At 38.9% G+C, this 14,625-nt stretch overlaps 1 protein-coding gene across 5 annotated transcripts in view, besides 3 other annotated features; it reads left to right on the forward strand.

Annotated features, from left to right (window-relative positions):
- ARHGAP42 (Rho GTPase activating protein 42) overlaps nt 1–14,625 on the forward strand; it is a 306,654-nt gene that overhangs the window by 128,839 nt on the left and 163,190 nt on the right. Inside the window, exons 4-5 of one of the 5 annotated variants that reach the window (NM_001367945.1) lie at nt 589–730; nt 4,862–5,019. The exons of 3 other annotated variants lie outside the window; for them this stretch is intronic. In NM_001367945.1, coding sequence (NP_001354874.1) covers nt 4,990–5,019 — 30 coding nt within the window. In that variant the 5' untranslated portion in view covers nt 589–730; nt 4,862–4,989. Of the gene's footprint in view, nt 1–588; nt 731–4,861; nt 5,020–14,625 lie in introns of those variants that run through there. One more of the 5 variants, XM_047426418.1, reaches the window with a different exon arrangement.
- Nucleotides 11,466–12,191: an enhancer, noted in NCBI's record as "OCT4-NANOG-H3K27ac hESC enhancer chr11:100698323-100699048 (GRCh37/hg19 assembly coordinates)". NCBI's record gives its function as "activates a minimal SCP1, AML or CMV promoter by ChIP-STARR-seq in naive H9 embryonic stem cells {active_cell/tissue: H9 hESC(naive)}" and the evidence as "EXISTENCE:reporter gene assay evidence [ECO:0000049][PMID:30033119]".
- Nucleotides 12,192–12,917: an enhancer, noted in NCBI's record as "OCT4-NANOG-H3K27ac hESC enhancer chr11:100699049-100699774 (GRCh37/hg19 assembly coordinates)". NCBI's record gives its function as "activates a minimal SCP1, AML or CMV promoter by ChIP-STARR-seq in primed H9 embryonic stem cells {active_cell/tissue: H9 hESC(primed)}" and the evidence as "EXISTENCE:reporter gene assay evidence [ECO:0000049][PMID:30033119]".
- Nucleotides 12,918–13,641: an enhancer, noted in NCBI's record as "H3K27ac hESC enhancer chr11:100699775-100700498 (GRCh37/hg19 assembly coordinates)". NCBI's record gives its function as "activates a minimal SCP1, AML or CMV promoter by ChIP-STARR-seq in primed H9 embryonic stem cells {active_cell/tissue: H9 hESC(primed)}" and the evidence as "EXISTENCE:reporter gene assay evidence [ECO:0000049][PMID:30033119]".

A 14,625-nucleotide genomic window follows, 5' to 3' on the forward strand; every position in this document is an offset into this window, starting at 1 on the left:
TCTTTGAGACCCTGGTTTCAATTCTTTTGGATACAGTCCAGAAAGTAGTATTGTTGGATCATATGGTAATTCTATTTTTAATTTTTTGAGGGACTGCCATCCTGTTTTCTATAATGGCTGCACTGTTTTACAATCCCACTAACAGAGCACAAGTATTCCAGTTTCTCTGCATCCTCACTAACACTTGTTTTTTTGTTTTTTTTTGATAGTAGCCATCCTAATGGGTATGACAACTTTGGGGTTTAATTTTGCTCTTAGACATGGTTGGGGTGGGTGGAGATATGTGCTCTATATCCATGAATTCACACGGTTAACAGAGAGTGAATATTTTAAAGTAATAGGAAGCATCAACTATTTCAAGACACTGATGCAAGAGCATGCTTTGTGATAGGGCAGATATTGTCAAAACATCAAACATTTTTTACTGTGCATTTTAAGATGCTAAATGATTAAGAATGATGATCATTGTGTAAACAGACTAATATAAAGTATGTTTATACATTGGATAATTTAGTCATTCAAAGTTTCATTATTTTAATTGGCAACAGTTAGTTAACAATAATTTCCTTTGCCTTTTATTCTTTTCAGGCAATGTTTTAAGAGGTTTTGCTGCCAGCCCCCAAAAAGCAGGCGATAAAAATGAGAATAGCCTGACATTTCCATGGCAAACTTCTTGGTGTTGTTGTAACTGGAGCTTGGATGAGGATGAGACAAGCCACATTGGAGAATGGTAAAGCTAGGAATCTAGGCAGCTTTGTGGGGTCTGCTCATGGCCTGATTAGCAATGTGGTGACAAGTGGAAAGATAGACTTGGATCAAAAGGAGGATAAGCCTATAAGAGAAATAACCATTAGAAGCCACTGGCAGAGTTCCAGACAGCTAAAGTCTCAGGAAGCCTGTCTCACCAGAAGTGAATCAGGCTGTAGGTGGGGACCTGAAGACTGACACTCCGGAATACAATTCATTTCCAGTCAGAGGACAGGGGGTTTCTCCACCCAGCACTGTTGACATTTTGAGCAGGGTGCTTTCCTATTCCACAGGACTATTTCATGTGTTGTAGGATATTTAGCGGCATCCCTGTACTCTACCCACTAAATGCCAGTAGCAGACCAATAATGTTGCCTTCTCCCTAGTTGTGACAACCCAACACGTCTGCAGACATTGCCAGATATCTCCATTTGAGAACCACTGGAGTGGTGTATTTACTGGGGTGCCTTTCTAGTGTATCTAATAGGTATCCCTTAACATTATCTGACTTATAATTAGTTGGGGGTACTTATTAGTCTTATCTATTAGACTGAAGATCTCTAAAGATAGGGGAGCTTCTTATCTTTATTCTTTTTTGTGCCCAACCTTGTCTCTTTATGTGTAAGTTGAAGCTCAGGAAATGTTGAATTGAATTCAGATGAAGTATTTGTGCAAGTATAATCTTCTCCAATTTGAGTATAAGTTTCGTAAACTCAAATACATTTTACACATTTGTATAATAATTAATGTTGCTTAACATCTCCGTATAAGCCAGACATTACTCTAAGCTTCTTACATGAATGCTCTCATTTAATCCTCAGAGCCACTGCACAAGATGACTGTTATTATTCCAATTTTATAGATGAAAGAATTGAGGCCTACCCATTAATGCCTATAGGTGGCAGAACTGAAAGTCTAACAGGCATTCAGAAGTGCAACTTTTAACCTCACAGAAGATTACTCAGCTATCTCCATACCCCAAAAATCCACAGGGCATTGCGTGAAGTGTTGGTGATGATACTGATAGTTACACAAACCAAGATGGTAACAGTCTGTCACAATGTTATCAGAGTTTTAGCTTGGCAAGTCAAGGACTTTTATTTCCACTGATTGCTTTTGTGAAACAGTAGTTTTGTAAATTGCAAACCATTCATATTGGCTCCAATAGTCTGAGGCCAGATCTAGCATGGTAAAGCAAGGGAAAGGAATTATGTTGCCTGAAAGAGGCTAGCAATGCCTGCTGATCTACCCATTATTGTGTGTCCCCCTGGTCCTTCCATCCTGCTTCCTCCAAAGTTATCTTGTTCACCTTTTTTAATTTTGTTAGCTTCTTTGCCTGGACCAGCATGTATAAATGCAATCATCCACTGACCCATTATTCACCCATTATCCTTACCATCTGGTAGCCTCTGTGCCATGATAGATACGATTGACAAATGTGTAAGACAAGGGTCCATTCTTCAGATGCTGAGTTATTGACGGAGATGCATGTACATAACGTCAGTGATGTAGGATGTGATGGGTGCTAGAAGAGGCACACAGGCAGACTGTTACCCAAGTTCAGAGGAGGGAGGAGTTACTTCTAGCTGGAGGAATTTGGAAAGACTTAGTGGAGGATATAGCCTCTGCTATCAGCTCTGAAATGATATATGCCAATGACAGCAGATAGAGGGGAAAAGGAGAGGAGAGAAGGAAATGCCAGGGAGAAAGGACTGTTCAGCTGAGCTGACTGTTCCTGGAGTGAATATTGGAGAATATATTTATCCAAAAGGACAGCTTACATCTTTTTATATCAATCAGAGCTTGTTTGTAAACAGGGCAGTGAAAGGCATACTGGTACCTTCTATCTGATTCGAAGTGGTACGGTGTATTTTTTCTCTGTTTTTGTTTGTTTGTTTGTTTGTTTGTTTGTTTTGTCTATGGGAAGCTGTCATCTGGTGATATCTGAGAAAACTTAGCCTTGACAGTTGGGTAAGATTTCAGCCAGATTATGTAGAGGTAGAGATGGCATTCTCATAGGAAAGAAGACATAAGCAAATGTAGGGAGATGCAAAAACATGGATGGCTTTAGTAGGGAAAAAATGGGTTATGTAGAGGAGCAGAAGAAAAAATTTCATATAATAAAGACCTTAGAAACCAGGCTAAGGAGCTGGACATAATTCAGCAAGCATCAGAACTTTAATGAGTATTTTTGGGGTTACATGATCAGAGCTAGGGAGACTGGATTGTCACTCCCTAAACAGCAGGACTTTGATTCATTTTTGCATTCACCAAACATAGCAGTGGACCTGGATGAATAAAGGTATACAGAACGGATCAGTTTTATTGTTAGTATTTAGAACGGCTCATCGGAGGAGTCCACAGGCAAGTGAGGTTAGTCAGAAGGCTATTGTATTAATGCTGAGAAGAACTCATGGGTCCTAAATGATAACTCCTCTAGTGGAGATGGAGAGAAGGAGATGTAAACAAGTGGTGAGAGTAGTGAGTGAAAATAGAAATGGCAGGGATAATAACTTATGGTTTGGGGTACAGGGCTGAGGAGATGGGAGAGGAGGATGAGGTTTATAGGTTACCAAGTGAATGCCAGTGCATGTGAAGGGAATGATGGATTGCAGATAGTAGGAAATTTGCTGAGTTTAGCTTGCAATGTTTTAGGAGAGGTACCATAGTGATTAAGAGCACAGAATATGAAATTTGTGCATCTTGCATCTGCCTCTCATGAACTGTTTGATCACTTAACATTTCATTTGTTTCCCCATTAGTGATAGGAGGATAATAATAGCACCGATTTAAGGTTAGTATGATGCTTAACTAAGCTAATATTTTTAAAGCTCTTAGAACACTGCCTGCCAGATAAGAGCCACATAATTATATGTTAAATAAAATCAAATTATTAGGGAGCTTTCCAAATCTGTATCCAAATATAGAATAATGAAAGGGCTCAAGATTAGAACATGAATGGCTTGTGAGGCACTTGTTTTTCCTCCCTGATATTTAGGAATTCTTGATTTAAGAATATTCATTTTGAGTTTAGTGGCACAGTATTTCTTTTTCATCATTGGCATTTCCCATTTCATTTTGCATATTAATTTTTGGAAATTTCTATGATTTCTCAAATTTTCATTTGATAATTTTTGGTGCAGGATCTCAGCCTGTTAGTATGCCACAGGGCTCGGAGGCAGTAAATATGAAAAGGTAAAGCATAATAAAGGCTTGGGTTTCATATTATTTCGGTGGTTCCCAGGCAACTCCTGCTAATTACTAATGGAGTGTGATTGTATCTTCCTTTCTCTAGTTTCATAGCTGTCTCTTTTTCTCTGTTTCATGACACCACTTGTACTTCTGTTTGAAGACTACCATTGAGATTATTGGGTAGTTCTGAAGTGGGGGTAGTTACCAGTAAGCCAGAAGTCAATGAAGTCTGAAGTCACCATATAATGTTCTTAGGGTTTTTGGAGGCTACCATGGCCATATTTGCCTATTTGCCAAATGATGTCAGTTGCAGAACATTGTTCTCATCAGTAGAGGGACTCCTGAATGTTCTTTGCTACCATTTGGAAAGCTACTGAGAGAAAAAGAAGGCATCTCTTCAGATTTCCCTGGACAGACTTAAAGAGACTTTAAAAAGATTAAAGAAACTTTAACTCCAGTCATGCTTTAAAAAGATGGAGAACATGGTTAAGTGAGGCTTATTATAGCTAATAGATCAGTTTATGCTAAGTCAAATTTATGATATTGCAGAGTAGTAATTTCATATTATTTTAATCGCTCCATGCTCTATAATAGTATACTGGGACCCTGTTTGTCTGTGTATTTATACCTCTCTATATAAACAGATACTTGGGATTTGGACCACAGTTTGACTTTTTTCAGTAACTATAGAGGCTTAGTTTGTTTTGTCTAATGTATTGTTAGTTACACTTTCAGTCTTTAAATATGAATGCAGCTGTTCAAAACAATGGAAAAATAAGGTTCATTTTATGATTTCTAGTAATAACATTGTGACAAATGCAACGACCGGAAATGTTTTAAGATAAAACTTTTTTTTTTTTAAATTAACTGTGGGTCATCTTTTTTTGTTTGTTTGTTTGTTTGTTTTTGTTTTCTTTTTTAGTGCTTCCCTTTCCAGCTGTCCGGCTGTCTGGGGAGATGTAAGAAAAGGTATCTGACTTAGCCTTGGAGGAAGGCTTACAATCTAGTTAAATAGAAAAGCCTATTATAAACCTGAAGCATTTCAAAAACATGGCCTGGTTGAATTGTGATGAGCTCCCTGTAAGTATAAAAGGAGATGGAGAGAGATGAGTATGGACTGAAGTAACAAGCCTTTGTTACCTCAAACCTTTGTTACCAGGACTGGATAGAATTCTGGTTTGGAAAAAGCAAGTAAATTCTAGGGCCCTTTCAGGTGGGAGGAGCATTCTCAGCCAAAGACTTGAGGTGGGTCAGAGCTGAGGAAATAGGAAAGTGTGGCTAGAGTGAGGCTTCTTTGTTATATAGTTTGGAAATGCCCTCTGCCTTCTTTAGAAGGAAGTGAGTTGAGTTTCCAGATCATCGAGTTTTAAGTATGCTATTGGGGGCAGCCTGAGGAGCCTGATATTGGCAGCCTATTCAAAATGACGAAAGAATCATCCCATTGTTCTATCAGTAGGAGTAAAATGTGGCTGTGAAACATCCCTTGTATGCCTGGGCAAGCTATCTTCCTCCTTTCCTCCCCTTAGCCTACCCTACTCCCACCACAAAAAAAAAAAAAGGAAAAGGAAAAAGTAAAAGAAAAAGAAAACCAAGAAAGCAGCAGACATCTTTCCTTCCTCTTATTGCCACCTTTTAACTTGATTTAGTTATTCTCTTCACTATCTTTTCTGCTTTGTCGTATACTGTGTTTATATTTCTTTTCCTTCCAATGCAGTTTGAAGCTATACTTTATTATGACAACTGAAACACCTTAAGCAATGTGTTTGTGTATTCATTCTTATTTTACATTAATCCGAACCACATTTCTTCAGTGGCAAATGATGGGCTTGTTGCTAATGACTGGAGATTTAAATCATTTCCAGAGCAAGAATTGTACGTTTCTTTCGATTTCTTCATCTAGGTAGAATACTGCTGCTGATGGTGAATATCCAATGACCATCCTGTGGTCCAGATAAATGTACGGGTAAAATATTGTGACATTTCACCATGTGACTCTAAGGGAATCCTTCCATAAGACCTAGGTAGGGTCAAGATCTCTATAGGGTGGCATTTGACACCTTTTGTATTAAGGGTAGACATTTCAGTACTTGTCTAAAATACAAATATTTTTAATATTTTCGTTCCAGAATAAAATTTGGAATTTTCTCAAAGCATAACCTTAATTTGTTGTAAATTCATTTACAAATTTTAGAGTGTATCTTTAGACTAACTTAAGAATTTCTCATGGATGACTATTTTTCAACGTTAAAAAAAAATTTTTCTATCATTAGTGTCCAAATGAGTTTCTATTGAATCAGTGGTGGATTATAGGGGTGGGTAGTGGGTGGCAGGTGGGTATATCAAGTTCTGGTCTCTTTCTATAATAATAATACATAAAATGGATTACTGTTTGTTTCACTGTTATTTTCTACAACTCTATTGCTTTTCTTGTAGAAAATATTGGTAAATTGGATCTTGCTTTCAAATTTCCTTCTGAAAACTGTTCATCCTTCAATTTCCTCAGCCATGGTGGGGATGATTGAATTATTTCTACACTGTTTGTAGACTACAGTGATTTAATCTGAAAGACTTCCAGATGCTTTGAGAGCAGTGATATTCTATCATTATAGAATGCTTTGCTCCATGCCTGTGTGGACTGTGTGGTCCTGTTCTACAGTGTATGCAGTTTGATTGTTACCCTTTTTTCCCACAGAGTGGAAAGTTTTGCAGTTCACAAAGGTAATTACTTATGACCAAAGGGTGGGAGACATCTTTAGATAATTTAGTGGCAACAGGAACTAACCCCCAAGAATGAACATATTTATCCATATATAGCAGCCCATAATGCAGATACTGGGAATTTGCTTTGTTAGCCAAAAGTGAGAAGGTTAAGGATGATTTCAGAAGTGGAGTGTTTGCTGGTACTCTCATGTGACAGAGGAGCCTGCCACCCAGACAGGTGACAGGCACACAGCTGGTGGGAGTAACAGCCATGACTAGAATCTCCAATTTTCCCACTTTTTCAGTCTGGCTGATCTCCACCCTGTATTCTGCTGTCTCAAAGTTCTATTTTTCTTCCCAGCAAACATTACTAGGTCAAATTAAATTTAGAAATGAAACTTGAGAAGCCCAGACAATTGGTAGGTTCGCACTGAAATCTTTTTGAAGAAGAAAGAACTGGGAATCAACATATTCCTTTTAGGTCTAGGAGCACCATTTGCTTCATTTAATTTGGTCTGCTTTGTGAAAGATCGTGCCCTGGAAGACAACTTGCAGGATTGCCTGTTTTAATCCACCTTCTTTTCCTCAGGATGGTGGATCACCTCTTGCTCCAGCACTGCCTCTGGAAAGGGTTATTTCAGAGCTTTTTCAGCAACTAGAGTTAGGGTAGAAATCATGTGACATAGATTTTCTTCTTTAGTTGGCTTCCCTCCATCAAATTTATGTGATTGAGAAACTAAGACCACATATGGTTCAGTTTTATATTACAGAGGCTGTGTCTGGTTGAGGCTGGTAATTCCCTAGTGTCTTAATTGGCCAAAACATCCAAATCACCAATTTAATCCAAGTATTACTAGAGGGAATATTTTCTTTGGAGTTCCCTGCAGGCCCTTGAACTAAGCAACAACCAGCAAAATCTGAGATAGTTTTCTAACTGGAAAAAGCCTCTGTTTTGTTAACTCTAAACTCGTGGAATTATCAAGACTGTCAGAGAATATTAGGTTATCAAATATAAACAATTATTTATTTGTCCTTATAAATAATGACCTCCTCTGAGAAGCTCTTATGATGATATCATCAGTGAAAACAAGGCATTGCCTCTAATAAAAATCATTTTTACCCCCAAAACCACACCTATATTTAAAGGTTATGTCATTATTGAGGATATTTGAAAAGAATGTGCTATTCTGACAGATTTCAAAAGTAAAATTCTAAAACAAAGATTTTCAATCAAGTAGAGCATTGCTGAAAAAAGTAAGGGCATTATTTGGCCATGAATTTAACCATGAGTTTATTAGAATTATTAGATTATAATTAAGACAGTGTTTGTGCTTTTGCAGATTAAGTATATCTGAATGCACTTGCATATCCCCCACCCACCGGCAGCATGTGGGTAGTAGCCTCTGGAAGTGAAACTGTAGGAATGTTTGTGAGAAGGTTCCCAGGGTAGCATAGAGTTAGTATTCAATAGCTTGGTGGCCACATCTTTTCTGCACATGCTTACATAGATTGTGTGGTCTGCTCTTGGCCTTGTTTTTAAGTTAAAGTTTAATGATGCTTGCTTTAAGGCTGCCCTCACTGTTTTTCAGTCATAGACTACTAATGACTGAAGTCCTTTCAACTAGAAAGGGATGACAGGAAAGGTTAAGAGAGAGAGTTGAGAAATGAGAAAGAAAGAACAGAAAGTCATTAAAATTTCACAGGATCAGTACATACAGGTTATTGCACTAGCTTCTACACTGGAGTCCCGAATACGGATCTAGGAAGCACATGAATTCAATAACTAGTTGTATATATGATATATGATGATGACTTTTTGTCAAAATCTTCATGAGCTGGGAAATTCAGCATAGTGTAGTGAAAAATGTAGGGCTCTAGCGGAGACTCTTCTCCTAATCAACTATATATCATCATAGATGACAGATTTAATCTTGGAGTCCATGCTCTGAATTTTGGGGTTATAATCATTTCCCTCCCTACTCCATGATTTGTGTATAAACTTATGTCTGTGAAAGCAGTTTGACATCCAAGTTTTGAATAACCTTACCTCTATTACCACACATTTTGCCTGATTTTATAATCATTCCTTACTGGTTTCTTTCCCATTCTAAGCTGTAGGCTCCTTGAAGCTGTGTTACTTGTCTCAGAAGCCTTAGCACATAGCACAGCTGGGCTGAATAATTGTTATGAGTGAATGTTTTTATAAACAAATTAATAGACAAAGGAGGATGGTTAACAACATTGGGAGTATGGTGCATTCATCACAAGGAATAACATTGTAACTCTGAAATAGTAATGGCAATGGAAGTGCTTGTTAGAAAAATTTTACAGCATCATTTTCATTGATAAAATTAACAATGAGTAGCTCCTAGAAATTAGAAATACCTTTACTTAATCAACTGGCATAGACTACCCATTCTTGTTTAATAATTAAGTAATGTAGATGCTTTCAGGCTTCAAATTATTATATTGTCCTTATATTATGTTCTATGTTTATTTCTCATACTATGCCTTGTTCCTGATTCAGTTGGGTGTTACTTCTGTAACATTTTTTATGAGAAGAGGGCATACCGATTTAATAATATAAACAGTTCAACATAACTTCATAGGACAATTGAAAATGCTGCATTTAGTTTTAGGAAAATGTTAGCTCTGAAACCTTTAATGGCATTAAATAAAGTGTTTTGTTTATATCAGCCATTCAAATAAAAACAACACGATTTTTATTATACCAGAATAAGCACTTTTACCATTCATTTAATGCTTAATTTGTACGTGAAGAATATTTGGATATTGGCATCTGGCTTGTGTTGTCTTGGAGTAAAGAAAACATGAATGGGAGCTTCCTCCAGTACCGTGTTGGCTGTATGTGCAGTTTTCTGCATGGATGAGATGACTCTGTAGTGTATATTTTACGCAGCATGCTCCTTAAATCTGCTTCAAAGTGTCACTCCCAGGTTTCTTCTTCTGTTTTTCATTCTTTTGCTGCAGTCTTTACAAGTCCAGCTTGTGTGGGCATGTACCCACATTCAGTGTGCATGTGTTTTATGACTCCAATTTAGGCAGCTGTTTTTGAAATGTAGTCTTTTGTGTTTATTTATTTGCTTGGAAATGCTCAGCATTGCTAGAAAGCTCTGTACATAATGGGATGAGGAAAACCATGCAGTGGCTGAGTTCCCGTGGCTGTCAGATGTTGTACTTCAGTAGAGTTTTTGATCGGTTCCTCAGAAGCTTATGTCCAGGGTTCCTGAGTCCAAGTGGGTAGACGAGTTATTATTTATTCTAGCTGGTAAAATGCTGTTTTTTTTCTCTCTCTCTCTCTTTCCTTCCTTTCCCCACACCTCCCCTCACTTCTCCTTGAAAGTGTTATATTGAAGGATTCCACCTAACCCTTATTCCAGGGTTTTAATAATTTCTGGACAAAGAATTTTAAGAAAATATTTCTGTGGCTTGGTGTGGAATACGTCCTATAATTTCCTTTTGGGGAAACACATGAATGAGATGGCTATTGAACGTATATGTTATCCATTTTGTGGACTTTCTGTAGTTTGATTTTTAAATCCTAGACTGACTATCCCTGCAACTCAGGATGCTTCTACATGTTTTCAGAGGTTTATACTATGGATATCCAAAGTAGCCTTAATATTATCTTAGGGACAATATCATTATAAAGTTACTTGATAATTACACTGAATCATTTAATACATTTCAAGACTATACAGATGTAACTTTGGGTAATTTGTGTTCTTCTCTCATGTACCATAATTTAGAATTTATTATCATTACATTTAGGTAAAGTGAATTTATCTAGACCTTACCAGCTCCTGAGTATCAATGTAGTTATATTAACAGTAATAGTTGAAGTTTTACTTGCTTACTTCACCAATTTTAAGATTACAAGATCTCTAAACCCCCAAATTTCCTGTTCCCACCTTGTAAATTTGGGGACTCCTCAGGGACTGTCTCACCCTCCCTAAGAAATCCTTCCTGCTCATGTCACCCCTGTCTCTCTGGGGTATGTAATTCTTTCTGCTGCTCAGCTGGGAAAAATATTTTGCCGTTGGTTTTCTATACAGAAGGGAGTTACCAGATCAAGCTAGAGATTTTCAAAGGATATTTGCAAAAGTTAATTACACAATTCTTTAACATGGATTTTAAAAAAAGAGGAGGGTGGCAACGGGGAAAGAATTTTGTGAGAAGGGTTTTTTGGGTGAATTTTGTTGTGAGCCTTACATCCTTTTTTTTTTTTTTTTTTTTTTTTGAGACTGAGTCTCATTGCCCAGGCTAGACTGCAGTGGCGTTACCGCAGCTCACTGCAACTTCCGCCTCCTAGAATCAAGTGATTCTTCTGCCTCGGCCTCCCGAGTAGCTGGGATTACATGGGCTGCCACCACGCCCAACTAATTTTTGTATTTTTAGTAGAGATGGGGTTTCACAATGTTGGCCAGGCTGGTCTCAAACTCCTGACCTCAAGTGATTCACCCATCTTAGCCTCTCAAAATGCTGGGATTACAGGCATGAGCCACAACGTCCGGCCAAGCCTTACATCTTTACATAGAGTGATGGGACCTTCAATGGAATCACTTGGAAAACACCATGTGATTTTCCCCTAGTTGTGGGGTCATGGTAGTCTGGTATGCAACTCATACTTTGTGAAGCTGATGTGGCCTGTGGCATGTGGAAAAGACAGCACAACTTGCAGCAGGTGGCTGCATTCCTAACCCAAAGGTGCATGGATCCCAAGGGCCTGTTGGTGAACCCACAGTGGAAATGTTTACCTGGGGTCATTTTCTACAAGGGTAATGCCAGTAGGATGGGAAACCTCATCAGTATGAGGCTGTGGGGAATACCATGGGGTATAGAAGCTGAGGGGTAAGGTGTGGCTGGCCACAGGAGAGGCACTGCCCACATTGGCAAAGTCATAGTTGTGGAGGCCTACTAAGGAAGTAAGTCTCAAATAACCTGTGAAAATAATATTCACAAGAGAGAGCTGGCTCTAGCCCATCTCCTTGGCCAGAGAAAAGGAATCTTTAAGTATCAAGCAAGAACTTTCCTTCACTATGCCCCACAGTGATCTTGGAAGTGGTTAGTAATAGAAAAGGAGATGTGTGGAAGAGAAAAAGTCAACTAGAATCTACCCTTTACAAAACATAGGTTCTCTCCTTCACCACATGGGAGTGGGGGTAAGAGATTTAGAGGCTTTTTATTTCCTAAGTGTTCAGAAAAGCCACAGGGTCTGCCCACAGTCTCATCCCTGAGAGCAGGTGAAGGACTGCTGCCTATCACTGAGCAGGTGAAAAATGGGAAGTAAAAGTCATGGCTCTTAACATTCCAGGGGTCCTGCTGTTGAGAATGCCTTGCTTTGTTTGACACTATCAGTCCTCCAAGTGGTCTCACTTGCCGCTAAGTGCTGATTTGTAGTCAGTGGCAAAGCATGAGGGTAATACTTTTCTTCCTTTTGTGTTACACCCTTTAGAAGGATTTTCCCCAGTTTAAAAAAAAAAATCCTTAGTGTTTTGCAAAGTTCAGGGGAAGAACTCTTGTGGTTTTGCTTAGAGCTTTCTTTATTTCAAGCCCTCAGAGCTGATCCAGGGACAGATTTGACAAATTGCTGCTATACATGCTGTGCTCACCCCTGTTCTCTGATGACTGAGCTTGTTTGTTCAAGGAAACTACCTCATTGTCTCTGACTAGGCTTCTGTGAAATAGTAATGCAGTTCACCAGATATGCTCAAATATGTGTGGACCCCTGGTGGTGGTTTCAACCTGAGCAAGGTATGAGGAACCATTATAAATAGGCATGCATCAGGGTATCAGAGCTGCCTAGACAGACCTGCAGAACTCTCAGATTCAACATACATGACTTTAAGGGGGAAAGGGCCTACCTACTATTAATTGTTGAAAGATACTGCTTTTCTGTTTGTCTTTTTTTTTTTTTTGGAGACAGGGTCTTGCTCTCTCACCCAGGCTGGAGTGCAGTGGCATGATCCTAGCTCGCTGCAGCCTCAAACACCTGTGCTCAAGTGATCCTCCCGCCTTGGCCTCCCAAAGTGCTGTGATTACAGGCGGAAGCCACCATGCTCGGCCTACCTTACCATTTTGTAGATGTGTAAAGTGAGGCCCAACAGTTGCCACATGCCCAGGATGCACAACTAGTGAATATTACAGCAAGCAAAGTAATTTTGCACGTTTGGCTGCAAGTAATACAAAACACAATAGTGGCTTAAATCATTAATGAGTTTATGGGCCTTATGCAAAGAGGAATCTGGAAATAGGCAGCCAAGGTGATGCCTCCAGGAGTGCAGGCTCCTTTGCTCTCCTTTCCTGCCATCCTTAGTCTGTGGCCCTTATCCTCATGCTTGTCACACCACAAGCATAGCTTTGTGGCAGTTGGCACTTTCTGGCATCAGGTTCATGTTTCAGGCAGGAAGAATGGTGGCTTGGGGAAAAAAAGCATGGTGGCTTCCGCCTGTAATCACAGCACTTTGGGAGGCCAAGGCGGGAGGATCACTTGAGCACAGGTGTTTGAGGCTGCAGCGAGCTAGGATCATGCCACTGCACTCCAGCCTGGGTGAGAGAGCAAGACCCTGTCTTCAAAAAAAAAAAAAAGACTTTCAAGACTTTCAAGAACCTCACCAGGTTAATTCTGCTATCACAGGACCAGTCATAGTTACAAACTGGGTTGGAGATGTATTTTAACTGGACACACTGGCAGCTCTAGTAGTGCTGACCAGGGCATGCAAAGAATCTTCTTAGCTTCAAAGGCATTACCCACTTTACTATGATACAGACAGCTCCTCCTCAGTGACTCCTCCTCTGCCCCCTAGGGTGGCCAGTGACTGCCATATTGTTCAGTGATAGAAATTACCCTTTTTCATATTGTGCATGCATATAATAAACTTCAATTTTGGCATTTTCCAATGGTTAATGATTCCTTTATCTGTTTACGGTTGTATGTTATTTTCCCCCTTGTTGTCTGATTGGTGATTATTATAAATTGTTTCTAAAATCTTCTAATTACCCAGGTATTCCTTGATTATAAATCACATGAGCAAAATCGGCTAGTTCTTTACTCTGAAGTTTATTTTTAACAAAATTCATCCATTCATTTAAGATGTTTACAATTACTTTGTGATGATAAGACTAAGTCCTAGAGTTCATACTTTTGCAGCATTAGCAAGGACAAAATTCTGATCAAAGCTACATACTTTGGATTCTCCAAAGGTGTGTTTGTATCTTTCAAATATGTGTTCTGTAGGACAGTAGAATAACAATAAAAGCAATATTAATAGGATGTTAGTAAGGGCTCAGAAGTTAAAATCTTCTTCCATGGTCAGATTACTTTGAAAACTCCTTGGTTTAGTAACTTTTATTTTTATACTAGAATATATCTCAATTTTCAATATTACACATGCGTGTGTCTCACCAGGAGGAATATATTTCCCAAGCTTGACGAGACTTATACTGAATGCTCTTTGGAAGACACTATCTGTGAGGCAGCAACAAATTGCCTCAGTAAGTAAAAATACCAATTTCATAGTAGCAGTTTGGAAAAGGATACCATGCTACTTAAGATTCATATTGGCAACCTGTGACTGTAATTTGAGTGGTTTGGTGGCTGCTGTAATATGGAGAGCACGCGCTTTCCTTCTTGTTCTTAGTGAGTTCTGCTGAGAACAGAATGATTGCTTCTGAGTGTAGACTGTGGAGCCGCAGCGTCAGCCTCGCCTGAGTGCTTGTTAGATATGCATGATGTCAGGCTTGCTGCGGACCTACTGAACAAGAAGCTGCAGTGTCACAAGATCCTCAGGTGTTTCTTGTGTGCATTAAAGTCTGAGAAGCCCTGATCTAGAAAATAACGTCTCAACTCATCTGTGATGCCAATATTCTTGTCAGATTGTTGCTGGGGTAGGATTTCAGCTTTTGGTGAACAGAGAATGAATCAATTATCTATTTGGTTTAGTGCCAACTATAATAATAATATCA

The sequence above is a fragment of the Homo sapiens genome, chromosome 11 (assembly GCF_000001405.40).
Source record: "Homo sapiens chromosome 11, GRCh38.p14 Primary Assembly".
In the NCBI taxonomy this organism is placed as follows: Eukaryota; Metazoa; Chordata; class Mammalia; order Primates; family Hominidae; genus Homo; species Homo sapiens.